Source organism: Homo sapiens, chromosome 10 (assembly GCF_000001405.40).
Source record: "Homo sapiens chromosome 10, GRCh38.p14 Primary Assembly".
Taxonomy (NCBI): domain Eukaryota; kingdom Metazoa; phylum Chordata; class Mammalia; order Primates; family Hominidae; genus Homo; species Homo sapiens.
In genome coordinates this window covers 31,491,220-31,505,721 of record NC_000010.11, presented here as the reverse complement: position 1 = coordinate 31,505,721, position 14,502 = coordinate 31,491,220, and the positions used below count along the sequence as shown (strand labels likewise).

The 14,502-nt window shown below is 33.0% G+C and overlaps 1 protein-coding gene across 56 annotated transcripts in view, besides 1 other annotated feature; it reads right to left on the bottom strand.

The window, feature by feature from the left end:
• Positions 1-14,502, bottom strand: part of ZEB1 (zinc finger E-box binding homeobox 1) — a 211,388-nt gene that overhangs the window by 24,083 nt on the left and 172,803 nt on the right. For 31 of the 56 annotated variants that reach the window (NM_001323643.2, NM_001323638.2, XM_047425691.1 and 28 more), the window contains 2 exons: positions 9,884-9,946; positions 3,213-3,374 (listed from right to left, as the gene is read on the bottom strand). The exons of 3 other annotated variants lie outside the window; for them this stretch is intronic. Coding sequence is in view for 8 of the 53 variants with exons in the window: in NM_001174096.2 (NP_001167567.1) it covers positions 3,213-3,374; positions 9,884-9,946 (225 nt within the window). In the remaining 45 variants the exon portion in view is untranslated. The remainder of the gene's footprint in view (positions 1-3,212; positions 3,375-9,883; positions 9,947-14,502) is intronic. 22 more of the 56 variants (NM_001323645.2, NM_001323641.2, NM_001323644.2 and 19 more) reach the window with 3 other exon arrangements.
• Positions 14,296-14,415: an enhancer, noted in NCBI's record as "active region_3240". NCBI's record gives its function as "activates an Ori minimal core promoter by ATAC-STARR-seq in GM12878 lymphoblastoid cells {active_cell/tissue: GM12878}" and the evidence as "EXISTENCE:reporter gene assay evidence [ECO:0000049][PMID:35858748]".

Genomic DNA, 14,502 nt, shown 5'->3' with positions numbered 1-14,502 from the left:
ACAAATAACAAAACAAAAAGTTGGTTTTTTTGAAAAGGTAACAAAACTGATAAACCACTAGCTAGACTAAGAAAAGAACAGAGAAGATGCAAATAAAAAATGAAAAAGAAGACTAACAAATGATACCACAGAAATACAAAAGAGACAATTATGAACAACTATACATGAAAAAACTGAAAAACCTAGAGGATATGGATAAATTCCTGGACACAGCCTACCAAGATTAAATTAGAAAGAAATAGAAAACCTGAACAGACCAATAATGAGTAATGAGATTGAATCCATAATGAATATTTCAAGTCCGGGACTGAAAGGGTTCACTGCTGAATTCTACCAAACTGTCAAAGAAGAGCTAACACTAGTTCTCCTCAAACTATTCCAAAAAACTGAAGAGGAGGGAATTCTCCCTACTTCATTCTATAAGTCCATCACTATCTTGATACCAAAACCAGAGAAAGATGAAACAAAAAAAGGAAAACTATCCAGGTCAATATCCCTGATGACAACAGATACAAAATCCTCAAAAAAATATTCACAAACTAAATCTAACAGCACGTCAAAAAGATAATGCAATATGATCAAGTGGGATTTATCCCAGGGATGCAAAGATGGTTCACCTCCATATAATAAAGGACATATATGACAGAACCACAGCATACTGCATGGAACAAGCTGACAGACGTCCCTCTAAGAAGTGTAATCAGAAAAGGATTTCCACTCCTTCACCACTCCTATTCAACACAGTATTGGAAAGTCCTAGCCAGAGCAATTGGGCAAGAGAAAGAAATAAAAGCCATCCAATTTGGAAAAGAAGTCAAATAGTCTCTCTTTGCAGACTATATGATCTAATATCTAGAAAAACCTAAAGACACAACCAAAAAACTGCAATCTGCTAAATAAACTGAAAGTTGCAGGATACAAAACTCAACATAAAAATCAGCAGTGTTTCTGTACACCAATAATGAACTAGACGAGAAATAAATCAAGAAGACCATCTCATTTATAGTAGCTACAAAAAAGTAAAATACCTAGGGATAAATTTACCCAAGAAGGTGAAAGACCTCTCCAAGGAAAACTACAAAATATTGATGAAAGAAATTGAAGAAGACACAAGTAAATGGAAAGACATCCCATGCTCATGGATCAGAAGAATTAACATCATTAAAATGATCATATTGCCCAGAGCGATCTACAGATTCAATCCAATCCCTATCAAAATATCTATGTCATTTTTCACAGAAGCAGAAAAAACAATCCTAAAACTTTTACGGAACCACAAAAGACCAATATAGCCAAAGCAATCCTGAGCAAAAAGAACAAAGCTGGAGACATCGCACTACCTGACTTCAAAATATAATACAAGGTACAGTAAGGAAAACAGCATGGCATTAGTAAAAAACAGACACACAGACCAGTGGAAGAGAACAGAGAACCCAGAATAAAATCCACATTATTAACAGCCATTTGATTTCGACAAGGCACCAAAAACATACACCAGGAAAAGGACACACTCTCCAATAAATGGTGCTGGGAAAACTGAATATTAACATGTGAAGAATGAAACTGGACTCCTATTTCTCACCACATACAAAAATCAACTCAAGATCAATGAAAGACTTAAACATAAGACACAACACCATAAAACTAGAAGAAAACATACAGAAAACACTCAGGACATTTGGGTAGGCAAAGACTTTATTGCTAAGACTCAGCAAAGGAAACAACAGAGTGAATATCTGCAAATTACTCATCTGACAAGGGACTAATATGAAGAATACACAAACTATTCAACAGATTTAAAAAACCCAAATAATCCTATTGAAAAGTGGGCAAAGGATATGAATAAACATTTCTTAAAAGAAGACATACAAATAGCCACAGATATACAAAAAAATGCTCACCATCACTAATCATTAGAGAAATGCAAATCAAAACCACAATAATATATCATTTCATCCCAGTTAGTATTGCTATTAAAGACAAAAACTAATGAATGCTGGTGAAGATGTGGAGAAAAGGGAACTCTCATACATTCTTGGTGGGAATGAAAATTAGGACAGCCACTGTGAAAATACTACGGAGATTTCTCAAAAAAAACTAAAAATAGAACTATTATATGATCCAGCAATTCCACTACTGGGTATTTATCCAAAGGAAGTTGGTATATCAAAGAGATGCCTGGATCTTCATGCTTATTACAGTACTATTCACAATAGCAAAGATATGGAATCAACCTCAGTGTACATCAATGGATGAAGCAAATGTGGCATATACACACGAATGAATACTATTTGGTTATAAAAAGGGATAAATATGTAAACAAATGTCGCTGATATGACAGAATACTTCAAAATGCTTTATTAGCATTTAATTAAATTACATTAAATATCTGAAAGTAATGAATAACAAAATCAACAACTTATTCTATAATTCAAACTAATTCAGAATGGTAGTTCCTCAATTTTTAGATCGTACTGTATGGACCTGACAAACTTTAAAAGGTTTAACCTTTATTAGAACTACATAATGGATCATTTCTTTAGGTTTCATTGTTTCCTTTCAGTGAGGCTTTTTGAAAGCCTTTTGTCACATAAAAATTTTACGTAAATATACATATATTTTTAAATTTTGTATTTCCCTTTCATTTCTTTGATAACCTAGTTTCTTCTGGTGAAACAATAACATAGTCTTTTCCTCCCAAACTGTATCACAGCCTATTTCTTCTCAGGAGAGTCTGAACACATTTTTATTGCATTTTCCACACTCTGTACGCTGACTATTCATATCAGAGTGGACTAAGGCAGATTCAGGAAAACCACTGTTTCCAAATTAGTATGTTCTGGTATAAAGCAGACAACCATATTTTTATTTGTTAAAAGAATGGTGGGAAAGAATCCAAAGGGCAGTAAAGGTATAGTTCTCACTTCTACTGCCTGCTACCATGTAAGTAAATGGAATTTGATGTCCAGACACTGTTCTAAGCATTTCACGTGCAGTGGCATTACTACCACAATACATGAGCAGCTAATAATTTATTACTGCATGGTCATCATAGTGTTCCATTAATAAAACAGATTACTCTCTATAGGCACCTGTAATAAAGTTTGGTCTTCAAGAATGTTCCCTATAGTAGAGCAGGTTCCCATAGTAGAATGGTAGAAACAAGAATCCTTTAAAGAGGGAAAGAAACACAACTGTTAAGATCCATTTACCATTTTCATCATGACCACTGGCTTCTGGTGTGCCCTGCCTCTGGTCCTCTTCAGGTGCCTCAGGAAAAATGACAGCAGTGTCTTGTTGTTGTAGAAACTCTTCAACATTAGGATCATGGTTTTGCTCATTTTCTGCATCTGACTCGCATTCATCATCTTTTACTAAAAAAAATGCATACTTTTAAGACAGCAATCTCACCACTAAGTTATTACAAAGGTTTTCTAAATAAGAAATTATTTATCTTGAGAGAACATATGATTGTTCTTGAATCTGCAGAAAATATTTCTTGAAAATTAAAAATGAATTCCACTCATTTTGTTGTAATGTATTAAGATATATCTTTGCTTTATAAGTTTAAAATGCTATGAATGTGTGAAATTCTCACAGTATCCCTTTCAAATGTTAAAGTCATACTTCTATTGCATTTTACTAATAAAACACAGAGAAGGCAATATAGTTGACTGAATTCTTTCTCAATTAATGATAAAGCAAGAAAAAAACTTTAGTTCTCAAAGGTCACCTTCTTAGCAACCTATCATATCATAATACTTATTTAAAGTTGGACAATAGACAGCCCCTTATCTGTGGCTTCATTTTCCATGGTTTCAGTTACCTGTGGTCAACTGCAATATGAAATCAGGTGAATACAGTACAAGAAGAATAATTTGAGAGCGAGCGAGGGAGACCACATTCACATAAATTTATTAAAGCATATTGTTATAACCGTATTTTATTATAGTTCTTGTTGCAACTCTGTATAAAATTTATAAATTAAACTTTATCATATGTATGTATGTATAGGAAACAGTATAGTATATATAAGTATTTATTTAAGACACTCAATGGGGGACTCTTGGAATTTATCTCCCACAGATAATGGGGGGGGGAGCTCTACTTTAAATCTGAATAATTCTCATATAAACCACTCTGACGTTCAGTTCAGTTATATGATTTCTTAGAAAATAGTTTTTAATAATTATCTATAGTAAGAAGGATTTCTAATAAGCATCAAAGGGTATCAAATCTATGAAAACTCTTTCTTAGCTACGCTAGTATTCATATAAAACAAGCCTATTCTTTCTCTATTTCTGCCTCAGTAAATGTTTAACTGTGGGATTAAGGCAGTGGCAACTTTTCTTGAATTAGAAAGGCTTATGCTTTGAGAAGGTAGCCCAGCGTGCTGCCAAGTTTCTAAAGCATTATTGCTGCACTATGGTTTTCCTCCATTTCCTCCACTGGCTCCAGAAGAGGGTCTCTACTCCATGCTGGCAACTGCAATGCCTTAGTATGGCTCCCAAATGCCTCAGGGATGACTTCTTTATAGACTCTGACTGAACTGTCAGGTCTAAATTTGTAAAACAGCACTCCCCAGCAGGCTGAAGTTTGGCCAAATTAAAATGGGGATGTATGGGCATCTGTTTGTTCGATGGTTATTAAAACAATCTTGCTACATCTCCTGCACTGTAGCGGTAACCAAACTCATCAGGGTGACTGCTGTTTAAAACCTGAGAACCAATGACAGTAACAAATGGTGATCCTAATTTTTTTCCCCACTTTTCAATAGCTATCAATTATTTAGCATTTGCTATATACCAAGAACTGCATTATTTAGTTCATGTCAGTAGTTACCAAATTGGGATTATTGGATCCAGAGGTAAGCGAAGACTTTTAAAATGTAAGCTGGACTGTTGGGTTTAAAGGAATCAACTCCCGGATCCTCAGCTTCCATGTAAACTCTTTCCTAGCATCCTTGAAAATTCTTCTCCCTGCTCTCCTTTATACAGTATACCTTGTTCTCACTTTCTTAAAAGAAAAAAAGAGAAAAGGCGTATTCCTCTATCCATCCATGACATGATTATGGTACACTGCTTGGAGTGTAAAGTCCTCCAGGGTGCCAAAGGAGTAAAGTTCAAAATACCGATTAGGGAAAGCCTTCTTTACTGACAAATCAAGGCAACAGAGAATCACTATAGGTTTTCTGGTCTTTCCTGTTTACATGAATTTCTATTAGGCATAAAGCACAACTGAAATGGGGGTATGCTGGTCCTGGTTGGGAAGCTGCAATTAACTATATAATATGGCCAGAGGAAGTGAGGGTAATTTTCCCTTAATGACCTCCCTATTATTTAAAAATTCATTGCTTTTCAGGAGACTGATAAGAGCAAAGCAAATAACATTCTCAAACATCATTCCTAGGATTTGTCATTAGGTAGAACAAAAAGCATTTCTGAAGAGCTAAAGCAGAACAAATCAGTGGCATTCTTTTCAAAGCAACTTCAATTTTTCAATTTAAACTAGATAAAAGTAAAAAATGAAATTAATATTTTATGTGATTTCTTACAGATTCCATGTAGAGTTGCTAAGATAGTTAAAATTATTTTTATCAAATTATATTATAAAATATTTATTTCAATTAAGCAATCTCCATCTTATATTTTCTACATCCTAATAAAAATTATAAGTGTGCTAGCTGTTGGAATAATGAGTTTTTAAATAGTATACACTTTTCAGAACTGCATGATCTGTATTTTATATATGAATTTTGCTACTTCAATAAATTCTAGCTTTCCTATACATTGATTAGGTCTAAATATACACATTTAGAGATAAAGATTTTTTTAACATACAAATTAGATTCGATCTACATAATCTTAATCTTGACTTTACTACTTAGTATTATTATAAGATGTATTTACTTATACTTTATGTTTTCTTCATTATTGATAATTTCTATTTTTTTTTTGAGAATGAGTTTCGCTCTTGTCGCCCAGGTTGGAGTGCAATGGCGCGATCTTGGCTCACTGCAACCTCCACCTCCTGGGTCCAAGCGATTCTCCCGCCTCAGCCTCCCGAGTAGCTGGGATTACAAGCGTGCATCACCATGCCTGGTTAACTTTTGTATTTTAAATATATCCTTCATACACTTCCTTATTGATGAGATTTTATAGAATTCCTCAAAATATGTATTGACACACTGAGTTCAAAAAACGAAAAAATGCTTTTTTTCCTGACAGAAAGTAAGTCTGACTTGGCTGGCTGGTGTGATGTTGATAACTGGCTTTGCTGGGTAGGTTATTGGAAATTTTCCAGAAATTGGGTGAACCAATAAGGTATTGCTCAAAATACAGTTCATGTAATAAAAGTGTTTTTCATGAAAAATATACTGATAAAAGATACTGAAATTAACATATTTCAGTTTCCTTAATCATTTCTGAATACATTAAACAAAGTGACTGTGAGAAAAAACATTTTAAAGCCCAAAACAGGTATCATTAGTCCTTTGATAAATAACTATTGGTAAAGTCTTTCTGGTATACGTCCCAGAAAATGAGGGAATAGATGATTGTAATGACTGGGAAACAAATCTTTTTGCAAATTAGATGGCTTTAAATTTTTGTTTTCAACAAAATTGAAGAAATACTGACAGGACATTAAAATATTTTCATTGACAAATAACTTTTGACATTATAGCTGAAGATGCATAAAAACTGAGCAACTCAGTTATAACATAAAATTTTATTTCATCTTTTTATTTGAGAATAAAGGTACCTCAATGCTAAAAAAAAGAAACTGAATGATGAACACTTTTCCTTCTAGAAGTAATATTAAGCTATTACAATTAATTACTGTTTATGAAGTAATTAATATACGTTTGCATAAAATTCTATAGTGCATATAGAATGGAAATATGAGCTCAAAAAGTAAATATTATGACACAACATTTCTTAAAGAGCATTTTCATATTTTTAAAAAAGATAATAGGTATTAATATACTATGGATTTCATATGTAATAGTGATGTTAAAATGTCAATGTTTTACTCTGCCAGAAATTAAATTGTAACTACTGACATTTAAAATGAAAAATTTTATATGTCCATTAAGAAATTTGTGAGACAGTATATAATGTTTACATCCTATAAAATTTATATAACAGTACCTCTTAGGGTTGTTGTAAGAATTAGATTAATTAATATAGTAATGTACTTATTAGTAGGGTACCTGGTATGTAGTAAGTACTATGTAATTGTTAGCTATTTACACCTTAAAGAAGTCCTGCAAGGTGAACATCATAATTTTACAATTAAAATTTTTCCTCAATAGAAAAATTAGGGTCAGAAAAGCTCTTCTGAGATCACAGAGAGAAAATGTATTACTATTAGAGCAGACAAATTGGTATTAGGTGTCAGGTATAAAATCTGAGCTCTTTCCATTAAACTACACTCTATATCCATGAACCCACATTTACCAGGCCCAATTTCAAACTGAGACCAGAATTTCTGCAGTTTTTTAAAATTTAAAGTGTTGGGAAATGCACATCTTGAAAAGGTCAATTATAAAGCAAATGTCCTGGTCTTTAGATGATAAACTTATATATTTAAATATTAGGGAGATGAGCAAATATACACAGCATAAAAGGTAATTGGGTTTTCTTTAAATATGATAAAACTCAAAATTGACAAAGTATAGAATTAAATGACTATATACATGTATTTGAGAGAGCAAATATTTAATATAAACACTGAATATTTTTAAATCTATCTATCTATCTATCTATCTATCTATCTATCTATCTATCTATCTATTTTTCCATCCTGAATAAAGTATCCTCAGGCTTCCTCTTATCTTTATCCTCCATGTTTGAAACTTTCTAAAATTATCAACTATATAAACAAAAAAAGGGACGCTCAGAAGGAACAAAGGATGTTTTCAATGAATTTTTTACTCTGATTACTGAGTTCAGACTATAGTTCCTTAACTTCACGAGCTGCAGAAGGAAGTCTGCTATAAAAAAGATCTGACAACATTCTGAACTAATGATGGCGACTGCTGTACAATGCTTTTGCTCATTTTGTCAGCATATTATTCCCTAGAAGTCAAGGAAGTAACAAAAGCAAAGGCAGGACATCATTTTACAGTTTAACTGCTCAAAAGTCTCAAAAGCTAAATTTCCTTTTAAAGCTACACTCACTGGAGCTTTAATGGAAGTTTGCTTACTCCTAACTCCCCATGTTCCAGGCGAATAATGCAGCAGGGATCATCATTGTGTACGTGGGGGAGATTTTACATTTCAGCAGCAACTTTTGTTAAACACAAATTTGAGAAGGTTACCCTGCCTTCCAGATGCAACTTTTTTGAGGAAATTTACATACTATTCAGTACTTCAAACTGAAAGAATTCATTTATTTTTATAGTGAAGAACAGCATGACAGATAAAATACTGTAAACCTGTGAGCATCTTTTTGGATAGCATTTTACCTAGAAGGGCAAGTTGTCTTCTGTAATTCTGGTAATATAAGTCATCAAAGTTTAACGATTCTAGGTAAAAGTAAATAGTGTACTCTTATGTTTATTAACACTACTGTATTACTACTAACAAATGTCCAGCTTAAATATTTTACATATTCTATAGCTTAGCATGGCAAATATTTGATAACAAGCATATCTGAATACATTATTCATGCAAGTTACACAGAACGAAGTTAGGGGCAAAACATAAAATCGCAGGCTATACGCACCACAAATTATCACATACTCCATTATTATTTAATTATTTTGGAATTCACTTTTAATAACAGCACAAAGATTTACTCTGTTTTACAGAAATGACTGACGAGTATAGGAGTGCTATTGTTTATATTACAGATAAAAATCTAATCTTGACACTTATTAGCCATGAACCATACCTCATCTTACCTAATGAAAGATAATTTGTAAGCCTTTATGGAATATTCCTAAAATGCACAGCAAAGTAAAAAAACAAATCTATAAATGATAACTCATAGAAGAGAAGGAAAAAGAAAATGTAATTAAAACTATATGACAGAAATATCTAATTTATGGTTGAATATACAAAGTACAATTACACTACGTTTAAGTATAATATTTTGAGGAAATGTTTTAAAAATCTGGAATGCATTTTTGAAGTTTACATTCTAACAGTTCTGGCTCTCTTAGGGAACACAATAAAAAGTGACTGGTATTACTATACATAAGATCTGATTTAATTTTTCCACCTACTCTTTTGCTTCTTAAATCTGATCTGAATCCATTACAGAGGAATAGCCTTAAGTTTCAGGGAATATGTACTTTTTAGTCACCTAAAAGCAAATTTCCTTGTTTATTATAATTCAACTTCATTTTACTCTTTTTCAATCACAGAAAATTTAAGAAAAATTTTTGATTCTCGTTTGCTGTGACATGTTCACTCAACTCATTAATATTCATGATTCTCATCGGATTTATAGATAAATCCATGCTTTTTCTATTTTCTTCTGCTTTTTGTCTTGTGGGCAATTCAAAGCAGACCCAGGTAACTAATAACGAAACTCAAAAGTTAGATCTGCATTTCTCTAACTTTGGTCAAAAACTTGATAGAAGTTCAAATCATCATTCAAACACTTATTTTTTGGATTATCTGTAGGTTATACTTGTCATTCTTATAGAATGGAGAAATCTGCTACATAATATGAATCTGTAAGTTACTCTGTATTTAAGGAATATTTACTTCTTTTTATGTAGTGCACCATATGCCTAAGTACTTAAACATTTAAGGAAGGTAAGATAAAAGAGAAGGAAACGGACTAAATTCAGGACTCACAAATGCGAAATCAGTGACACAAAGACCTTCTTTTAAAGGCTATGGTATGAAAGAAAGTCGCAGCAGAGTACCTGTACATCCTGCTTCATCTGCCTGAGCTTCAGGCCCCAGGATTTCTTGCCCTTCCTTTCCTGCTGAAATCAAAGAAGAAATTAAAATAGATCTATAGTGTTCCTAATACAAACGAAAGACAAATGTTTAAAGTTTTGGATATCCCAATTACTCTGATCTGATCATTACACATTGTATACATGTATCAAAATATCACATGTACTCCCCAAATATATACAGCTATTATATATCAATAAAAGATTAAAAAAACAAATCCAGTTGTCACAAACATTTTAACTTCCCGAAATCTGAAAAGGAAACTTTCAGTACAGATTATATTTAATTTGGATTTTTTCCTTTTATGAATATGGTAATGTGTCCTTGAAAAGTAAAGCTGTTTAAAGAAATTAAGTGGACAGTCTTACCAAACTCACGAAGATATCTTAGAGAAGTAAAAGCAGTACAGATTTAGATATTCTGGAATTATAAATATTTTAGGATTATAAGCAAACTGGAATTTTAGTACTATTTTGGGAAAAGAGCTCTACCTATAGACGGTAGAATTATATATTTTTATTTCTTCTCTAAAGCACAAATTTCTATGTTCCAGGCACTGTGCTAGTAACTTACTTCTTTTAAGCTTTGTAACAACATATTTTATAAGTTAAAAAACTTGAGGCTTGGAGAAGTTAAATAACTTGCCCAAAGACATGCCGTTATTAGGTGGTAGAAATGAAATATAAATGCAGGTCTGATTGGCTCCAAAGCCCACTTTCCATCACACTCTTGCTCATTTAACTTGGGTACCAGAAAACTAGAAAGATGACTGGACCAAATGTTACTGTGCCCAAAGTAAACACCTAAGGCATTATGCTTTTTCTTTCACTTTATTCGTTATTCTAATTACTGATATGTAGTAATCAACAATATAGTGCTACTAACAAATATTTTTAGATATCTGTCATCTTCCCTTGCTACCTCTACATTTATAGTGGGCTATCATACAGCATAGGTTCAGAATAAATATTTTGTATTATAAATAAATGCATACTTTTTGGACAAGCAAAAAGTATGTTTTATATTTTCAGGTACATTTTATTTATTATAATAGTGTATTAAGAACATGTGCATAAATGAAAGGCATGAAGAAGTTAAAAACTGTTCTTTTTCTAACTAGTAGCAGAGTATATGTCATAATTATGATCAGAATACTTATACAGTCACACCGAAATAGTGTACTTATCTGCACCCTAATCAAATTGCACTATGTTAGTCAAAAGTCTTGATTGAGATTTCTCTTAGGTTTGATTGTTAAATTGAGAAATAGAGCACTAATCAAGTAAAATCTTTGCATCCCATTATAGCATGTATTTCTTTTAAGTGCCTTGGATTATCACGTGGATTTATTCAGCAGATTTTCTTTACTCATTAACTTTCATACTAGTACATGAAGATGATCATATAGGAAAAACAGTTAAAATATGCACAAACCTCTTTAGATCAATGTAAAAAACACTGTTTTAAGTAGATGATGAGATTAACTTCTGCTGAAGTCTCATTTTACACTTTCCATCAGCAAAATGACAGTTTAAAAATTCTTGGTAAAGTGTTTACAAAGCTGTAGGATAAACACTAGTGTTTGCTAAGTGTCTGCAAACCTCTAGCACCCCCTTTTTCTCGCTTCAATGTGTCTCCTTAAACTAAAATAATAAACAGTATGCCAACTGGGTAATTATATGATGGTAATATAGTTACTGATTATTGTAAACCTATGTTCCTTATTCTTCTAAAATGAAAATCAAAACAGCCAGAGTTACTACCTCGTAAGATGGAATATGACATTGATATTAAAGGTAAAATGACATTTTTGGACACTGCTAATTTTTCTACTTATAACTATTTTAGGAACTGCAATTTGATTAATTTATTTGTTTCTTCATTTCTTCATCCCCCCTTGGGATAAATTCTAGGCTCTTTAGATGAGTATTTAACATACTTCAGAATCTACTCCCAGACCTATTTCCCACAATTTAAAAACTAGAAGTATATTTTTTTCCCTCATTATTGAGGCTGGAGTTTTGGTTGAGCAACTAAGACCATGGTGCCTAATGAAAACAGACAACATCCTAATGTTGGCCTTTAGCACTGCAAAAAAATGCTGCCTTGGGATAGGCTCCTTTCTGCATCAGCCGTGGACTAGCATGAGTGTGTCTGCAAACAGGCTGTGCTAAGTATTTTTCAAGCAGCAGTATCTCTCATGTGTTCTGATCTTACTTCTGGATTTAGGAATTAAAAGGGGAGTAAAGTAATAAAATCTACTTGTACATATTTTTTTCCTGTAAGACGTAATAATGTCAACAGATTAACTGGTTAACCTAAATGCAATTTTAAAAAGAACACTAGAATGCTCCTAAGGTTTTTGTTTATAGTATAAATTCTAAAGCAAATATGTAAGTGAGAAAAATGCCTGAGTAGTAAGACTTTGTTTTTTCAAAATGAAACATAATGGAAAAAGGTGGGCTAAAAAATAAGTCATGAAATATTACTCAGCAATAAAAAAGAACAAACTATTGATACAAGCAACAGCTCAGATGAATTTCCAAGAATTTATAGAGAATGAAAAAGTCAGTCTAAAAGGTTACATACTGTATGATTTCATTTATGTAACTTTCTTCAAATAACACAATTGTAAAGATGGAGATTAGTGGTTGCCAGGGGTAAGGAATGCGGCAAGGTAGAGGGACAGGGGTGAACATGTAATGGGAAACGAGAGCCTGTTAGTGACAGAACTGCTCTGTATCTTGACTGTATCAATGTCAATATGCTTGTTGTGACATTATATTATGTTACCATTGGAGGAAACTGGGTAAAGGGTACACAGGATTTCTCTGTATTATTTGTGAATCTATTATTATGTCAAAATAAAAAGTTTAATTTAAAAATAAGTCAAAGGCAAATATCTCAAATTTAGACCAAAAGAGCTTATGGCTTGTTCTTTTTAGTCATAAGATGAAATTCCTAGTAAATAAAAACAAGGATGGAAAATGTGATTCATTCTAATAAAAATCCAGAAGACTTACTATCATTTGCAGGATAACATAGTTTAAGCTGAAGGACTGATTATTTAGCATATGTGTTAAATTCAAAAACTTGTATTTTTTGAAATTCACACCCATGTGTTTCTAACCATTTCAAATATGTTCATGGGAATATCTTACTGCAACCTCTAAGAAGGCACAGTAAATGCCTAACTGAATCATATTTCCCTTTCCTGGTTTGTCTACTCCTCTTTGACACACATTCACACATGCCATGCACATTTATACCTGTATAGATACTCCTTGACTTATGATGAGGTTAAATATTGATAAACCCCGTTATAAATGGAAAATATCATGTCAAAATGCATTTAATACGCCGGTCCTACTGAACAACACAGTTCAGCCTAGTCTACCTTAATGCTCAGGACAATTACAGTATCCTACAATTGGGCAAAATCATCTAACATGAAGCCCATTTTATAATAAAGTATTAAAATCTCATATAATTTATTGAACACTATATTGAAAATGAGAAACGATTACATGGGTCCTTGGAGTGTGGTTTCTATTGAATACATATTTCTTTCACACCACTGTAAAGTTGAAAAGTCTTAAGTCAATGTTGTAAGTTGGGGACCTTCTCTATACCTTTCCTGAAGTTGCTCCCTCTGCCTAGAAAGCCGTTACCCAGTCCAAATGAGTAACTTCCACAGATTTTTAAAAGGCCAATTCACATCTCTCTCATTCTGTAAGTCATCGCTGAGCCAGCTTTCTGCTATTCCTACCCTATTCCCTGCTAAGGGAAAACTATCAAAAAAGCGAATGCCAACAGATTCCTAAATTCAGACCTGAATGTGTTCAAACTTTAGAGATGAAATGTTTCACTGTATACTTTTCCAGATAGTTTCATTTTCCTGCTCCTGTATCTTCCAATTTATAATATGTATGTGAATATTTGGGGTGTAACTGTATAGCAAAGTTAAAACAAATGCAACTCACAACCTCCATGAACACCCATTAACTTAGATAATGATTAAAAATATATACCTGAGGTCAGATCCAGTTAATATGGAGAATCCACAAACTGTTTATGTCTGCTACTGAATCTAGATAATAAAACTTGAGAATGAAGGAAACGGTTATTTAAAGACTCTAAAGGGTAAGTCACAGCAGGTGGACTGGAGAAGATGACATGACAAGAATTCAGAGTAGCACAGGGTGATTCCCCTTACCTTTTTCTTTCTTCTTCTTTTTTTAAAAGGTACCCCTGGCCTGGATTCAAGGGAGCTTAAAACCTGAAAGTGGGCCCTGGGGCATGGCAGTGAAGGCTCTAGGAGAATCCTTATAGTTTAGGCTCAAGGAGCAGGAAAAGTCTCAAAGAAGAGAAAAATTGCCCTTTTCTCCTTCATTCTCTTGCATCCTAGCCTTCAAGGTAGTAGCAGAGATAATGATAACTGCAAGAATTTAAAACTTTGAGGGAGGGAAAACTTCCTCTCCAGTAGGAGGAGCTGTGGCCCTAAGAGTACAATATAAACTCCACTGAGCTCTTTCTCTCCCTGTCTTCTTTCAGCTCTTCTACAGGCATAGATGCAGGAAGC